We start from the raw sequence: 15,599 nt of genomic DNA, 5'->3' as shown, positions 1-15,599 counted from the left end.
TTGTCTTATTGTGTTTAGGATACCATGTCAAAATATCTTAGACTGGATATTTTATAGACGACAGAGTTTATTGATCACAGTTCTGAAATCTGAGGTGTCCAAGATCATAGTACCAGCAGATTTGATCTGGTGAGTGCCTGGTCCTCTTAGATGGCACCTCATCTCAGATGTGTCCTCACCCTGCAGAAGGGGAAGGCAGCTCGCTGGGACCTTTTTAAAAATAAGGACACTAATCCCATTGATGAAAGGAGAGCTCTCATTACTTAATAATCTTTCAAAGACCTCACCTTCTTAATATCATCACCTCGGTTACTAGGTTTCGAAGTATAAGTTTTGGTGAGACACACACTCAAACTATAGCAAACCCTTATAAACCTCATCCCCTACACCCAATGTCATTTCTTAATTGCATAATAAAAGTTATCTAACGGCTATAAACCTTCACCTTCCCATATGTCATAGGTGACTAAAAATAATACCCCTTCTCAAAATGGCTGGATAATTTAATAAAAAAAAATTGTCCATGTCCCTTTTCTCTCTTATCTCTTTCTACTGCTGCTCATCTCTACACCTTCACCTGCACGCTGTACTGTAACCCTTTAGATTAGAGAAATCATTTATGAATTTCTACCATTACTATCATCATTTTAGAAATTTGTTTAAATGCAGATCCCCAGCTATGCTCCCTGCTCTCTCTGGAAAAAAACAAAACAAAACAAAACAAAACAAAACAAAACAAAAAAAAACCAGAAAGATTCTGTTTTGCTGGATAAGCCTGGGGTAAATAAATGACATTCATATTTTTTCAAAGATTTCCAGATGTTTCTAATTCTAAAGACCACTCGGGTTTTTGATGGACTGACACAGACTTCCCTGAAGGAACCTGGCTATTATACAATACCTTACCTCTGATTTTTCTGCCTGAATATTCTTCAGTATGCCTGTCAACCTGGAAACCTTCTATATTTTCTGCCAAATCATCAGGAAATATCACTTTATTTGAAAATACCTTTTGTGAAGCCCTCAATCACTTTATTATTCTCTTCTCCATAGTGATACTTCAGCTTGAAATTTTTCTTTTGCTATATTTTTCCCACTGTAATGTATTTTTTTTTAACTTACATATATCTCCTCAGGTAATTGCAAAAGCATTGAAGAATAGAGTATTATCTGCCTTCTTCTTTCTGCTACTTGGCATAGTACATACTGGATTACCCATAAATCTCTGTTAAGCTTTCTTACAAGTTGAATTCCCTCATTGGTTTTCGAATACAGGCATCTTTAAAATAATTATAAGGAAGGAAGGAAGGCAGGATGGAAGGAAGGAAGGGAGGGAGGGAGTGTGGAGGGAGACAGAGAGAGATAGAGAAAGAAAGGAATGAAAGAAAGAAAAAGAAAGAAAGAGAAAGAAGAGAGAAAGGAGGGAAGAAGGAAGGGAAGGAAGGAAGGAAAGAAGGAAGGAAGAGAGGGAGGGAGGGAGAGAGGGAGGAAGAAGGGAAGGAAAGTCTGAAAACAGAAATAGTGTTCACCTTCTGAGCTTTTTCCTATAAGTAATCCTATACTGTCTTCTTATGTTTATGATTTAAAGTATGTGACCATACATTTTCCTATGGTATGACCAAAGAAAGAAGCAGCTCACTGTCATATTTCAGCAATGGGGAAATATCATAATTATTTTTGCCTGTATTATTATTGGCTTGACGTTTTTCATTTTACACACAGAAAAACATATTCACATTGTTTTCTATTTGACCCTAGGTATAATTTTTCAGACATCTAACTTATATAGGCCTTGGGTACAGTAATTTATATTCAATGAGAGAGGTGAATAAATGGAAAAACCATGCATGCTATGAGATTTTGAGGAGTTTGTTGTTTCTTTTTTAAGTGGGAAATTTGTGGGGAAACCTATACAGATGGAACACTATGATAACACATTAAAGAAGTGAACCCTGGGTCTACAGATTTCAACTGTGTGTCTCTGTTGACTTTAAACTGTCAGAGTTTGAGGACAGTTAAAAGCTTTGAACTATTGAAGTGAAAATTTTCCAAACTATAAATCTTTCAAGGAGGAGGGTATAGGACAGGTTAGTCACTATAGACTAGTACACAATGTGAATGTTGGTAAGAAATGAGTACTAAACAGCCAGCATTCTTCCTGGAGGTGGGCCCTAAAGTCATAGAAAAATTATTTAAACGTACTGAATTTTTCAGCATCATGGCATGCTGAGCTGACAAGCCTCATTCCTCACAATTAAAAACACCTAAAAATGTCAAATACTATAAAAAAATTCTGAGAATTGTTTTATGACTGTAAACAGGAATTTGTATTCTTTTTTGGGGGGTGACCTTACTACTAACAAGTCGCTGCCATGCTATCTTTCAAAGAAAATTAGAGTATTTGATCTAATGATAATTAGTCATCTATTAACTACTAACATATAAGCTAATGAGAGTTAAAAGCAGAATTCCGATACACAACTTGGGGAAGAAGGTAAGTGTTCCTCATCCAAAGATGAACAGAGACCCCTACTTATGATGATGCTTGTGGGTAAGTAGACTATAAAGTCAATAAGAAGCAAATTCACCGGTAGGCTACTTTGCCATGATTCATTGTTTGCTTGACGGGTGAAATCCTACCTTACCTTAAGCTCTCTCTTTTTAAACAACACTCATATAATAGGGAACCCAACTGTAGTCAAAATCATTGGGTAAGAATATCTCACACTTCTTGTATCACATCCAGCTTGAGGTAGAATATTTTATTCTTGTGGGCATATTACCTATTGATAAATTAGGACAGCATAGAATGTCTCTACCGTCTTTCTTTTTTACTCAGTACAGTAAATATATACCATTTCCTTTTTACAAGCCTATTATTGATTCAGTAATTGATCCATAAAGATGAGTTGGGAACAATTGACATAAATGATTTTTTATCACAGTTAATTCCTCTGGTTTCTATTCCAGCAACTATACAATATTATTTTTCTAATGCATTTACATTACAATTAAATCTTAACTAATTTTAAAGGGAAAAATAAACACATTGTCTGAATATAAAATGATTAAAATTTAACTTAATAAGACAAACTAAGAAAGAGAAAAGGTCATTTTATTTAAAATGTTTCTTCTTCAATGACTTTGGGGTCACAGACGAAAGTTCAAAAGCATGCAACTAAAATATATTTTTTAAAGTGAAAAAATTATTAAGTATATGAAATCTGAACAAATCTTTACTCAGAAAAATATTTAAACTTTAAATATTTTGATTACAATAAAGACAATTGAAAATGAATGAAAAGATGGTATAACATTTAAAATGTTTAAACATTAAATGATTAAACATTTAAAAGCAGCAAAAACATAATCTAAAAGTGGTATTAATACAATGAACAAAAGCAAGAAATAATGGAGTAAACAGCTCACAATAATTGCAATTGTAAAATAAAACCTAAGCCATATTGTGGAGAGCAATGAAATAATTTCAAGTGTGAGGTGATGTATACAGGTTTGTTGTAATCTAGGTGGAAAAATACTGGGTGATATCCCACTTTAAACAGTGTTATCTGTCTAATGTCCATTGAAGAATCTTTAATCCTAGGTTTGCACCTATTGTTTCAATTGCAGTTGCTGTCTCAATTGGTGAGGTTAAGTCTAAACTGTCAGCACACTCCATGGAGACTTGGGGAAGATACAAGCTGATCTTAATATAGAATATCTCTTACCAAAGCTTTAAGCTTCTGTGAACATATTACCTTCTAGGTCTATAGTTAATTTGACCTATCACTCCCAGAACAATATGTTAGTCTGCAGTTCTTTAGTTACTTCTGCTTATGCTTAGTGATGATCATGATAATTATATACTAATTAGGTTAATTAAATTATATAATGACTAACATAGCTAAATAAGTATTATAAAATTAAACAAAACGATATAATTAAGGTATTATACTCAATTAAATAATTGACTATGCAGTAGTAGTCTTTATCATTACTGTGTGTCTTATTTTAAAATTGTTTTTAAATTGCTATTCTAAAAGCTAAATAATTACTTTGTGCCAGACTAAAGAAACTCTATTATGCTGAGAAGGTTGTAATTTGCAAAATATGTTTAATTATCCACATCCTAGAAGTTCAAGAATTGTTTACTATTTAGATAGAAAATAGCTAAATTTATTGTCATCTACTCAAAAAGGTATAAGATGAACAAATCAATAATATAAACAATTCTAAAGGAGAGACATAATTACTTACAAAACATTTAAAAGCATCTGAGAATCCTCAACTGGCATTTGAATATTGTAGACAGAAAAAAAGAAAGCATATATTTTTCTTCAATAAAATATATTATTTATAGAGCCTATAGTTAGAAATATTGTGCTCCTGTCATTTGAGTCCCCGGACACCCCTCAAAATATTGAAATTAAAGTTTTGTATATTGTTTAATAATTCAGTTTATGATCATATAAATGACTTTCTCTCAATCAATATTGTTAATGAAAGTACTTATATTTAGCATTTTAAGTAATATTACATCTTGGTAAGACAAAATAGATAATTTCTGAAAGATACCTTTTTATATCAGGAGGATGGATAGATTATGATATAAATAAGCATCAGGTTTTAAAAATAATTTTATTATCATTACTTTCATGATATATTTTTATCTTATCACAATTAAGATGTTTATTGCTTATTTAGATCAAGACGTTTATTATTCTAATTTATGATACCATCAAATAATGTCTATTTTGAAGCGTGGAACTGACATTAGACTTTCTGGTTTTGTTTGTTTGTTTGTTTTTCAGAGAAAAGAGAGGTCAGATTTCAAAACCTAGATCTATAGTTGGACTCAGGACCTTGGATAGATGTATCCAGAATGGCTTCTGTTCCCAAATAGGGCCACTTGGAGATCAGACCGCTAAGAAAACAAGGTCCTAGATACAGGTAGATTGAGTGCCATGAAAGTTACTAGAATATGGTCTTTAGCACTAGGGACAATAGTTATTCAACAAGATTGAGGACCCTAATGGACACAATGTCATATGAACTAAGCAAAAATATTCATTCTGAAGACTTACAAAGGACAGAAGAGAAAAAGTTTCAGAATAATAGGTCACAACTCCTTAATTCCCTTTTTTTTTTCTGAGATGAATATTAACCTTAGAAATGTAGACATACTGAATCTACACTTAAGAGTAAGTGGATTCTACTATGTGGAAAAAAAAAAAGGCTGGGACTGTAGGATCAGGCAAAGTCCAGTGAATGCATCCCTATTTAGTAAAAACTAGAAATATAAATATTCAGCTTTGTATTCTTTTGTGGATTATTAAAATCTCTGTATCTAAGATATTAGATTGAGCTGTTACTGCTAATATGTGTTAATATAGTTGTCAATGATTATCAGGCCATGAATTACGTGCCTTTACTTGTAATCAAAATTCTCCATTTTTGCCTATTAACAGAATGGATTTCTAGTACTACTTCAATGTCATTCTCTTAAATAAGATGAAACCAAGTTTATTAGCATACTTCACACAGTTTTTGCTGATGTTTTCTTGTCAAGTCAAATAGTATATAAAGATAGAAATGAGAACCTGTTCTGGGTGACCTAATTTTTTTCCCTGAGATGACTAATATATATGCATGGAAATTAGTGTTTCAGAGTCCTGGAGTATTGCAAATAAAGTAGTAGTTGATTGTACCTCCTGGAATCAATTTCTTACAAGTGTTCAACAATATTAAGAAAGGTTAGATATTCCTATTTAAAACTGGGTTGATAGTCCTATTCAGTGTATAAATCCTTAGATCATTTTCTTGAAATATGCTTGCAAAATCAGGCAGAAGCTTAGAAGCTAAGTGGATCTGTTCTATGCTATTCCAGCCTCAAATAATGAGGCTACCTTACTGGGTTTCTCTTTTCAGTAAGCATAAGTGTTTCTGCTGATGAGTAATTGATGGGCAGGACTACTTGTTTCAAGAGGGCAGTTATATGTTACCTGCTTAGAATCCATTACATTTACTGGAAAAAAAAAAAAAGTCACAAAACCAAGAAAAAACTCAGAATTATTACTAGCAAGTGGAAAAAAGTACTATCAGTTGGCCAAACTCTTAATGGATATCTAAATGTATGTTGCAGATGGAATTATATTGTGAGGCAAAGAAAACTGTCTAAATGTCAAGTAGAGACTGTTGTAAAATATGTGAATGGAACACAGTACCATGCTGGTACCACATGTTCAGAGCAGCAGAGGCTCGTAGCAAGATTGTGATATGGAACAGTGTATGGAACACAAATCAAAGGACTACTATAATTGCAAAGTTGAGTAGTGACAGGCCATAATGGCCACAGAGGTGAAAATACATATTATCTTGTTCCTTAAAGAAAAGTTTGCCAACTATGTAGATGATTCAACTGATTTAATACATTTTACTGGCATCCAAGAACCTTGTTAAATTTATTAATCAACACTCTTATTTTTTTTCTAGAGTACTTTGGGCTTTCTACGTATGCAATTATGTCATTTAGAAATAATGACAGCTTTATTTTCAGGGTTCCAATTTTGTACTTCTATTTCTTTTTTTTTCTGTTATACAGTTTAGTTACTCTAGTTGAATAGAAATGTTGATAGAAAACATTAGAGACTTCTTTTTGAATTCTGAAGAAGCTAATTCAGTATTTGATCTATAAATATGAAGTTATATGCAGGGGCTTTTATCTTTTTAATGATATCTCTTATAGAGTAATAGAGTATGATTTCCCTTCTATTACCTTTTTGTTTTTTTGTTTTGTTTTGTTTTGTTTTTTGACATGGAGTTTAGCTCTTGTAGCCCAGACTGGAGAGCAATGGTACAATCTTGGCTCACTGTAAACTCCTCCTCCACGGTTCAAGCGATTCTCATGACTCAGCCTATTGAGTAGCTGGGATTACAGGCGCCTGCCACCATGCCCGGCTATGTTTTTTGCATTTTTAGTAGAGACGAGGTTTTACCATGTCGGCCAAGCTGGTCTCGAACTCCTGACCTCAGGTGATCCACACACCTCGGCCTCCCAAGGTGCTGGGATTACAGGCGTGAGCCACCGTACCCGGCCACTCTACTACTATTTAATAGAGAGTTTCAAATATATATCAATCAAATGTATTTCCAAGACATATTGATTAGTAAAACTCCAGTGCTTATAATATATAGCCATTTATTTGAAAATACTAAGTATAATATATGCATGCACACATGTATACATACACATACACACATAAGAATACGTATGTAAGGGGTATTTTGTGGAAGGATTTACAGAAAAACACAACAGTGTTTATGTCTATTAAATAGGGTAGGGAATCTTAGTGTGAAACTCATTTTCATTTTTTTTATCATTTTGTATGTATACATGATATACATTTTCTTTTTATTATTTTTATAAAAATGATGACAATAAAATGCAAAGTTTAAAAAGCGCATGTCAGAACATTTTGTGTACCTCCTGATTATGAAAATAATTTTGTTTTTATATAACTAATTACTATAGAGCTTTTATGATGTGCCAGGCACTCTTATGACTGCTTTATAGAATGTAACTCATGTTCATATGAAAATAGTAAAATGAAAGTATCCTCCAAATACTTAGAATGCCATCTTGTAGGAATTGAATTATAAGAAAATTATGTTTTTATTTTATACTTTCAAACTATATTAAAATATTAACATTTAATATAATTTAATTTTTGGAAGTACTAATTTGCCATTTTACTTCATGCAAATAGACAATAGGCATTTTTATTTCATGTAGATATTTTATGATTTTTATTTTCTATGAAACAAGAATATGATTATTGCTTCACATTGGAGATAGATACCGATATAGATAGATAGATAAATTCTTTTTTGAGACATGATCTCACTCTGGTCACTCAGGCTGGAGTGCAGTGGCACGATCTGGGATCACTGCAACCTCTGCCTCCCAGGTTCAAGTGATTCTCCTGCCTCAGCCTCCCAAGTAGCTGGGACTACAGGCGTGCAACACCATGCCTGGCCCTAATTTTTGTATTTTTAGTAAAGTTGAGGTTTCACCATGTTGGCCAGGCTGGTCTCAAACTCCTGACCTCAAGTGATCCACCAGCCTTGGTCTCCCAAAGTGCTGGGATTATAGGCGTGAGCCACCATGCCCGGACTGCACTGGGGATATCTTTCTAAATGTTGGTGTTGGAAGCCATCAGATCTAGATTTCGGTAAGACTTGATTTGATTATGCACATATACCTATAGTTTTTTAGGTCTAATTAACATAGTTGTTTAGAATCTGTAAAAAAGGCAGAAGTTTGGGATTGATTTTTTTAATTGAGCAGTTTGCTGTGTTTTCTGATTACAAATTACCATCAACTATACTTCTCTGGCCCCGACAAAAACAAGAGTTTTCCTTGTTTTTCACAAATTGCTTTTTTACTTGGAGGTGGTGGTGCCTATGTGTGAATCATTTACATTGTATATTCCAGTCATTGCGTCTTCATCCTGTGAATAAGCAACCATCACATCCAAGTTGTACAATGTGATTTAAAGAGTTTTATGAATGGATATATCTCTCATGTTTATGAAAAATATATTAATCCTTTACAAGTAGATGTCAGTTGTGGATAGTTATTTCATAAATATGCTCTTCTTCAGGCTTCTCTTGAATCTCAGTGTGTGCCCTAGAAACTGAGGAGATATGTTGGCCAAAGGAAATATCCAAATCATTACTATGAGTTCTGTGTCCCTTTGTTTTTTCTGTATGTTTAAAAGTATTTATCTATGGAAATGCAAATATTGTTCTACCACCTGCATATATCTGCTTTTCTTTACTCTAATTTGCCTTTGGGTTATTACCACTGTGCTTTACTTGGTAATAACCCAACTCTTTTTGCAGAAAGTAACTTCTATTGCCATTGCTGAAAAACCCTTTCACTCTCTTTTGTCATGTCTTACTGTTTCAGAGCGTATTTTGTTTGATCTTAACTATTGCTTGAGGCAAAACAGGTGGTTCCCTTCCTTGTTTTAAACCACAGCAGATCAAGGTTCTCTGATGATGGTAAACCTGAAGCCTTTATAAAGCCAAACTTGTTGTGTGCAAACTTTTCTCATTTTGCACCTGTCGTTTTTCATCAGGGTTCATCATAGCTACCTCATGCTGTGTAGCCACATGGCCACCAAAATGACACTTACCATTACAAATAAGAGCACAGCTTGAGGTCTTACCAGCTTTTGTAGAAAGAGAATGTTTGAGGGAAAATGAAAATGAAAAAAAAAAAAAAAGAATTTAACTCATTTAAGAATATTCCATATATTTTTATTCTTGTGTTTACTATTTAAGGTCATACACTATATATTGATTTTTAAATATATTTCAGAAAGAAGACTGATGAGAAATAGATGGAAGAGTATATAGGAAGAATGATGACCTTAGTGATTGCCATTAGGTAGTTTATTAATCTTTCCCACTGAAAAATAATGAAAGGAAAGTAAATGGAAATAAAGCAAAAATGGCTCAAGTGACTCAATATAATAATATATAATATAGTATATAGATTATACATATGTATGGATATATATGTACATACACACACATATACACATACACACAAATATATATAATTTATATTTATGCTCTTTGCCAATTAAAATATTGATCTCACTATTTTATGCAACGCTAATTACTTAGAAATAAGTGTAATTTGCTCATCGGTCTGAATAAGAGGTTACTATTAATTTTATACATTTCTGCTTTTTCTGCATTTTTATGAAAAAACATCTTTACTATTACAGAAAAATCTATATTTAAAACCAATATTTAAAATATTATGAATTATGTAAACATACTTAAAACACAGTAAAGCAGCACATTAAATGTATGCACACACACATAAAACTGGTATCATCTATACCAAACTCTAAAAGGTATGGTTCCAGGTAGTTGGACAATGCATAGTTTATGTTCTTTATTTAGTTTTTCTGGATTTGCTACATTTTCTCCTATAGATATATACAATATAAAATAAGGAAAATAACTTTATTTGAAAAAGAGAAATTTAAACCCATACAAATCACTGTGACAAGGGGAATAATCTGAAGTTAATTCAAACTTCACTAAACCCAGCAAAATAAGTATGAGGTAATTATTTTTGTGGGAAGGTAATTGACCTGTGCATTTAATATAGTTTGAGGTAACTATGCAAATAAAGTTTTATTATTATCAAAAGTATAGCCAGATAATATGGGAGACAAATTTCAAACAATTTAGAAGAAAAATATACAAGAGGTGACAGCATGAGATGATGTAAAAAAAAAAAAAGTAATGCAAGTTTTCTGCTGTTTTCTGAAGTGAATTTGCTTTTAGTATTTTTAATGACATCAAAGAAGGGAAACAAAGTACCCAAAATGCAAGTTATGAAATGTCTATACAATGGTTAGGGAAAAATGATACGAAAAGGGATTTAAAATGAAGACATGTAAAAGAAAATATATTTTATGACATTTTCTTTCAGGCCAAGTGTTAAGTATATCATATACATTATTAAAACAGGTTTCAGAGACAAAGTAGCTTCATGAATTGTTCCTATAATATGAGTTGTATCTATCTTGACTCTGCTAAATAATTATCAAAGTCAACATTCTGGATGTCCCAGAAAGGAGAAATCAAGACTTGTAAGAACACTAAAATGTAATTATATCCTAGAGATTTTCTAAATCTAGAACTTTCCATTTTTATATCTAAAGAGATCTACAAAACCAGCCTGTGATGATTTAAGTTCATTTTTTCAAGTGAATGCTAGTAATTTCTTAGTAATGCTTAATTAGTAATGCTTAATATTAGTAATTTATACCTCAAAACTGAAAAGATGTAGTTCTGAGACAGAAGAGAGCATCTGTGGTTATTTTGGTTATGAATTTTTTGATAATGGCTAGCATGAGGGTGAAATACATGTGTATAAATATATGTATAGCCACACATACATATATACACACACATATACATATATATGTATATATATGTGTGTGTATATATATATACACACACACACACACATCCACTATATTTATTGGACTATATGTTCAGAAACTGCTATGGTAATCATACCCAATGTCTATTTGATTTACTTCTCTATACAAATTGTGCTCAGTAAATATTTGTTAAATTGAAATTTTTTCTCAAAAATACACTTATTTAAAAGATGAATTTACAAACATCTGCATTTACCTTAACACAGCAATGATTTTATGTATAAGGCCCAGTGACCGCAGAAATTAATTAACAGTTTTAAGTATTAATCTTAAATAGTTTCTCATGGAATGGCTCACAGATTGAATTCTGTGTCACTATGAGCATTCAAAACCCTAAATGCAGTTAAAAATAAACTACCTGCTATTGCAGTGAAATTGCCAGTGAATTAGCACTTAAGCAATTTTAGCAAAGCAGGTGTACAAGCATGCTGCCACCTCAGAACTCTTCCTCAGATATTATCCATTGTGAATGGAAAATGGTAAAATGCCATAGGTAGAGAGAAATTTTTTGAATTTAAATCTCATTTTCAAAGTACCCTTTTAGTGCCATTTAGTGTGAGAAGAATATTGACAATTTATGTAACTTTCTCCAGTTTAACATATGCTATAACTTTTATTCCGTATAAAATTCCTGCTTTCTTCATGGATTTCCTTTTCTAATGATAGGAGTGAGTTTTAGTTAGGAAAATTATACCCCAAAGATACAGTTAAAATTAATTTTAACTGTGACTTGAGTAGTTTTCAATTTTTCTATTTGAGTTAAATTACAGTAAATCATCATGCGTATTAATTCCATTTGATATAATTTATTTAGTGTTCATGAAATTGATGTTTTTTTAATCAAGAATGTCCCATTATTATTATGCAGAAAGTTAAAAAAAGTGATAAAATAAATTTATTGAAGGTTATCTAAATTTATAGTTAGTTTTTACCTGATTTTAATTAATAAATATGGGATTGTCAGTTGAACACTTAAAAAGCCTCTTTTCATTTTCATAGTTTTATACAATTTTTAAATACAAAGTTTACACTATGTTGATTATAAATATTATATTTAAAATTAATATTTATGTTTTATACTTTTATTTATAATTGATGACTCAAATCTTTCTATATTTAAGATAGAGCCCACTGGTGTGAAACAAATGTTTGTAGATTCAGTCATTCAACATCATAATCAATTGTTCTGGCAATTCGATTTCAAAAGTTGAAACTTAAAATTTTTATAGTTTTGCTGTAAAAACAGGTGATAGTCGGGGATAGTTGACCAGAAATTTACAAAGAGAATATCTTATTGTGTAAAAAAATCACTCAAGAAATCTCTATCTGAATTATTTTATCATAAGAGCAAAACCAATCAGTTTTGAACTACATCACCCAGAGAATACATTTACATCTTTAGTCTCTCTTTTCATAGTTCTAACACTCTTTGCCTATAAATTTCAAAACTGTATTATGTTTCCAAGGAGATAAAGGTAAACACTTGTCCTTGAACAATTATTCTCTCCAATATTCCATTGAATTCCTTTTACATTGAATTATTTTTATCTGATATTAGTATTGCTTCAATTTTTTTATTAGTAATTGTCTAATTTGTCTACTTCTATTCCTGTATTTTCAGTTTTTGTGTATCTTTTTTGAATGTCTTAAACATTTTTATCATAACAATTTTAAGCATTATTTAATCCAATTTGTGAGTGTTTTTAAAGAATTATATTTAACTTACATTTATTGTCCTTGCTATATGTATAATGCATGTGTATGTATGAGGCTAACCTTATTTTTTTTAATCACCATGCATTCTTGCTGTAATAATTTACTGACTGATTTGCATTTCCTGCATTTAGTAAACTGATGCATTTTGCTTGTTCTGTGTTTCTTCCAACACCTCATCTTTAAAGGTTTTCTTGTTAAACATCATCTATTCTGTAGTACCTTAAATATTTAACACCTATTTATACATGTTTTTGATAAATTTTTAAAAGTAATTAATAAATGCATTTACCCAATAAAGAAGATCACTTGTGATAAGAGCTTGACTTCTGCTTTAAACTCTCCAACTTGATAAACAGTAATTAACATTTTAAAGCATATTGATATTTTAAATTTATTAATCAACAATTATTTAGGCTTCACTTCCAATGTATTATATATTAATGCTATCATAATGTATATATTCTTAAGAAAATTACTTTTTAAGATTATCTATTTAAAGCTTTTCTATGTTGACAAACTGATACAATAATACTGTTTTTTAAAACAACAATATTACTATGGTCGTCAATTTGCTATTTGAGCAGGGCTTTGCAGGAACAGCTTGTCTTTGCTGTACTTAGTTAGCATCATTAGGGTTACTCTGAAGCTGGATGTTAAATCACCACAGTTTGTTTACTCGCATATCTGGCAGTTGATCCTGGCTGTCAGCAGGGTCCTTAGCTAGACCTATGTGCTTAAATGTGTCAACATGACTTCTTCATGTAGCCTCAGCCTCTTCATAACATGACGTCTGAGTTCCAAAAGGCAAGGGTCCTAAGAAAAAGTCAAGTGGAAGCTGCACCGTCTTTCTAAGCTCGCCTAATATATTACTTAGTCTCACTTCTGCTACCTTCGATTTGTTTATTTATTTAATTATTCCCCCCCGCCAGCCCCGCATCCTGTGTTTAATGTTTCGCAGCAGGATGCCCAACATAGAACATAATTGAAAGTACTCGGCTGTGCAAAAGAGGGACTAGTGCTTAAGTACAAATGGGGAACATGATTCTTTTGTTTTAAATAAATACTTAAACACGACTTGGATCCTACAAGCATCTGGACTTCTAGGTCTGAGTATTGGAGTGCCTCGCCCGTGGGCCCACCAGGACACCCTAGTTCCCTTCCCCTAGTGATCAAGACTTGGAATCCGGTACCGATGGTTGGATCACAATGCGCCCCTTTTCTTTTCTCTTTTCTTTTCCTTTTTTTTTTTCTTTTCTTTTTTCCTTTGAGACGTAGTCTCGCTCTGTCGCCCAGGCTGGAGTGCAGTGGCGCGATCTCGGCTCATTGCAAGCTCCGCCTCCCGGGTTAACGCCATTCTCCTGCCCCAGCCTCCCGAGGTAGCTGGGACTACAGGTGCCCGCCACCACGCTCAGCCAATGAGCCCCTTTTCTAGAGCCTTTCCTGGCCATCTACAGGCAGGGTCCGGCTGGGAAAAAGACGACTGGAATTTCTCGAATGTCGATGGTTTGCACACTTGAGGATTCTACGTGGTTCTCTTGGTTCCTTTGGTGTGTGTGTGGAGGATGCCAAGGCCCTTAGCTGACCTTCAGCTCGTCGTACAGGACCAGCACGAAGCCCGCCCCCACCCCCATGCCTTTGAGGGCGTTGGACCACACACCCTTGAAAAAGGCCTCGCCCCGCTCATCTCTGAAGATCTTCCTCCAACAGTCGACGGTGCCCGTGTACATGATGTCAGCTCCTTTGCGCCGGGACTGCATCATCGTCCGCCGCCGCACTGTGTCGAAGGGTTAGGAGAGCACGCCAGCCACGGCCGTCACGGTCTGCGCGGTCATCCAGCTCACCAGGATGTGTGTGTTCTTGGGGTCGGGGAACATGCCATTGGCCGTATCGTACACCCTGAAGTAGGCTGCCTGGTAGATGATGATGGCCTGCACGGAGACGCTGAAGCCCTGGTAAAGGCCCCGGATGCCGTCGGACTTGCTGATCTTCACTAGGCAGTCTCCCAGGCCTCGGAACTCGCGCTCCGTGCCTGACTTTCCCACGTCGGCTGCCAGGCGGGTTCTGGTGAAATCCAGGGGATACACGACGGCCGTGCCGCCAGAGGCCAGGTTGCCCGCAAAGTACCTGCAGAACTGCGTGTGCTTGTCCACGCCCGCCAGGAAGATCTGCTTGTACTTATCCTTGAAGGCGAAATTGAGGGCTTGCGTGGGGGAGTAGCGGATGACATTGGCCAGGTTGCCCCTCCAGAAGGACAGCACGCCCTGATCTTTGGGGATGCGGACGATGCAGTCCACGATGCCCTTGCACTGCTTGGCGGCGGCCATCGGCATGCTGGCGTGCTGCATCTGCAGCAGCAGCTGGACCCGCTTGATCGATGCCACGGCTGTCTTGGAGATAGCGGCGGTGATGCCTCCAGCTAGGAAGTCCTTGGCGAAGGAGATGGCTTGTTCCGTCATGGTGGCCTGGCGGGCAGCGGAGCGGGTGGCGGAGCGGGCGGACAGCAGGAGAGCAGGCGCGGAGAGTGAAGGGAGGGCGTCGCTGGCTCAGCCCTGGCCACCAGGACCGAAAGCAGCTACAGTCTATTTATTAATTATGATCTCCAAAGGTTCCCACCTCCTTATAGAAGAGAGGCAAGGTTCTGGAAGAGTAGGTTGGACTGAGATATTGCCATGACCATTATGAAAAATATAGCCTGCCACGGTCTTCCTTGTCATCAAAACAGCTCTTATTCTGCTCACATGCTGAATATAATCATCTGTGTCCCAGGCCTCCACCCATAAAGTCTCATTCTACCAGAGATTCCGGCTTAGGTATAGGAGTTCCAGGTGTGGATGAGTTTTCTTGGGT

The 15,599-nt window shown here is 34.7% G+C and overlaps 1 pseudogene; it reads right to left on the bottom strand.

Moving 5' to 3' along the window:
- SLC25A6P2 (solute carrier family 25 member 6 pseudogene 2) lies at positions 14,166-15,321 on the bottom strand (annotated as a pseudogene).

Source organism: Homo sapiens, chromosome 9 (assembly GCF_000001405.40).
Source record: "Homo sapiens chromosome 9, GRCh38.p14 Primary Assembly".
NCBI lineage: Eukaryota > Metazoa > Chordata > Mammalia > Primates > Hominidae > Homo > Homo sapiens.
The sequence above is the reverse complement of the archived record's forward strand: the minus strand, read 5'-3'. Positions and strand labels throughout refer to the sequence as shown.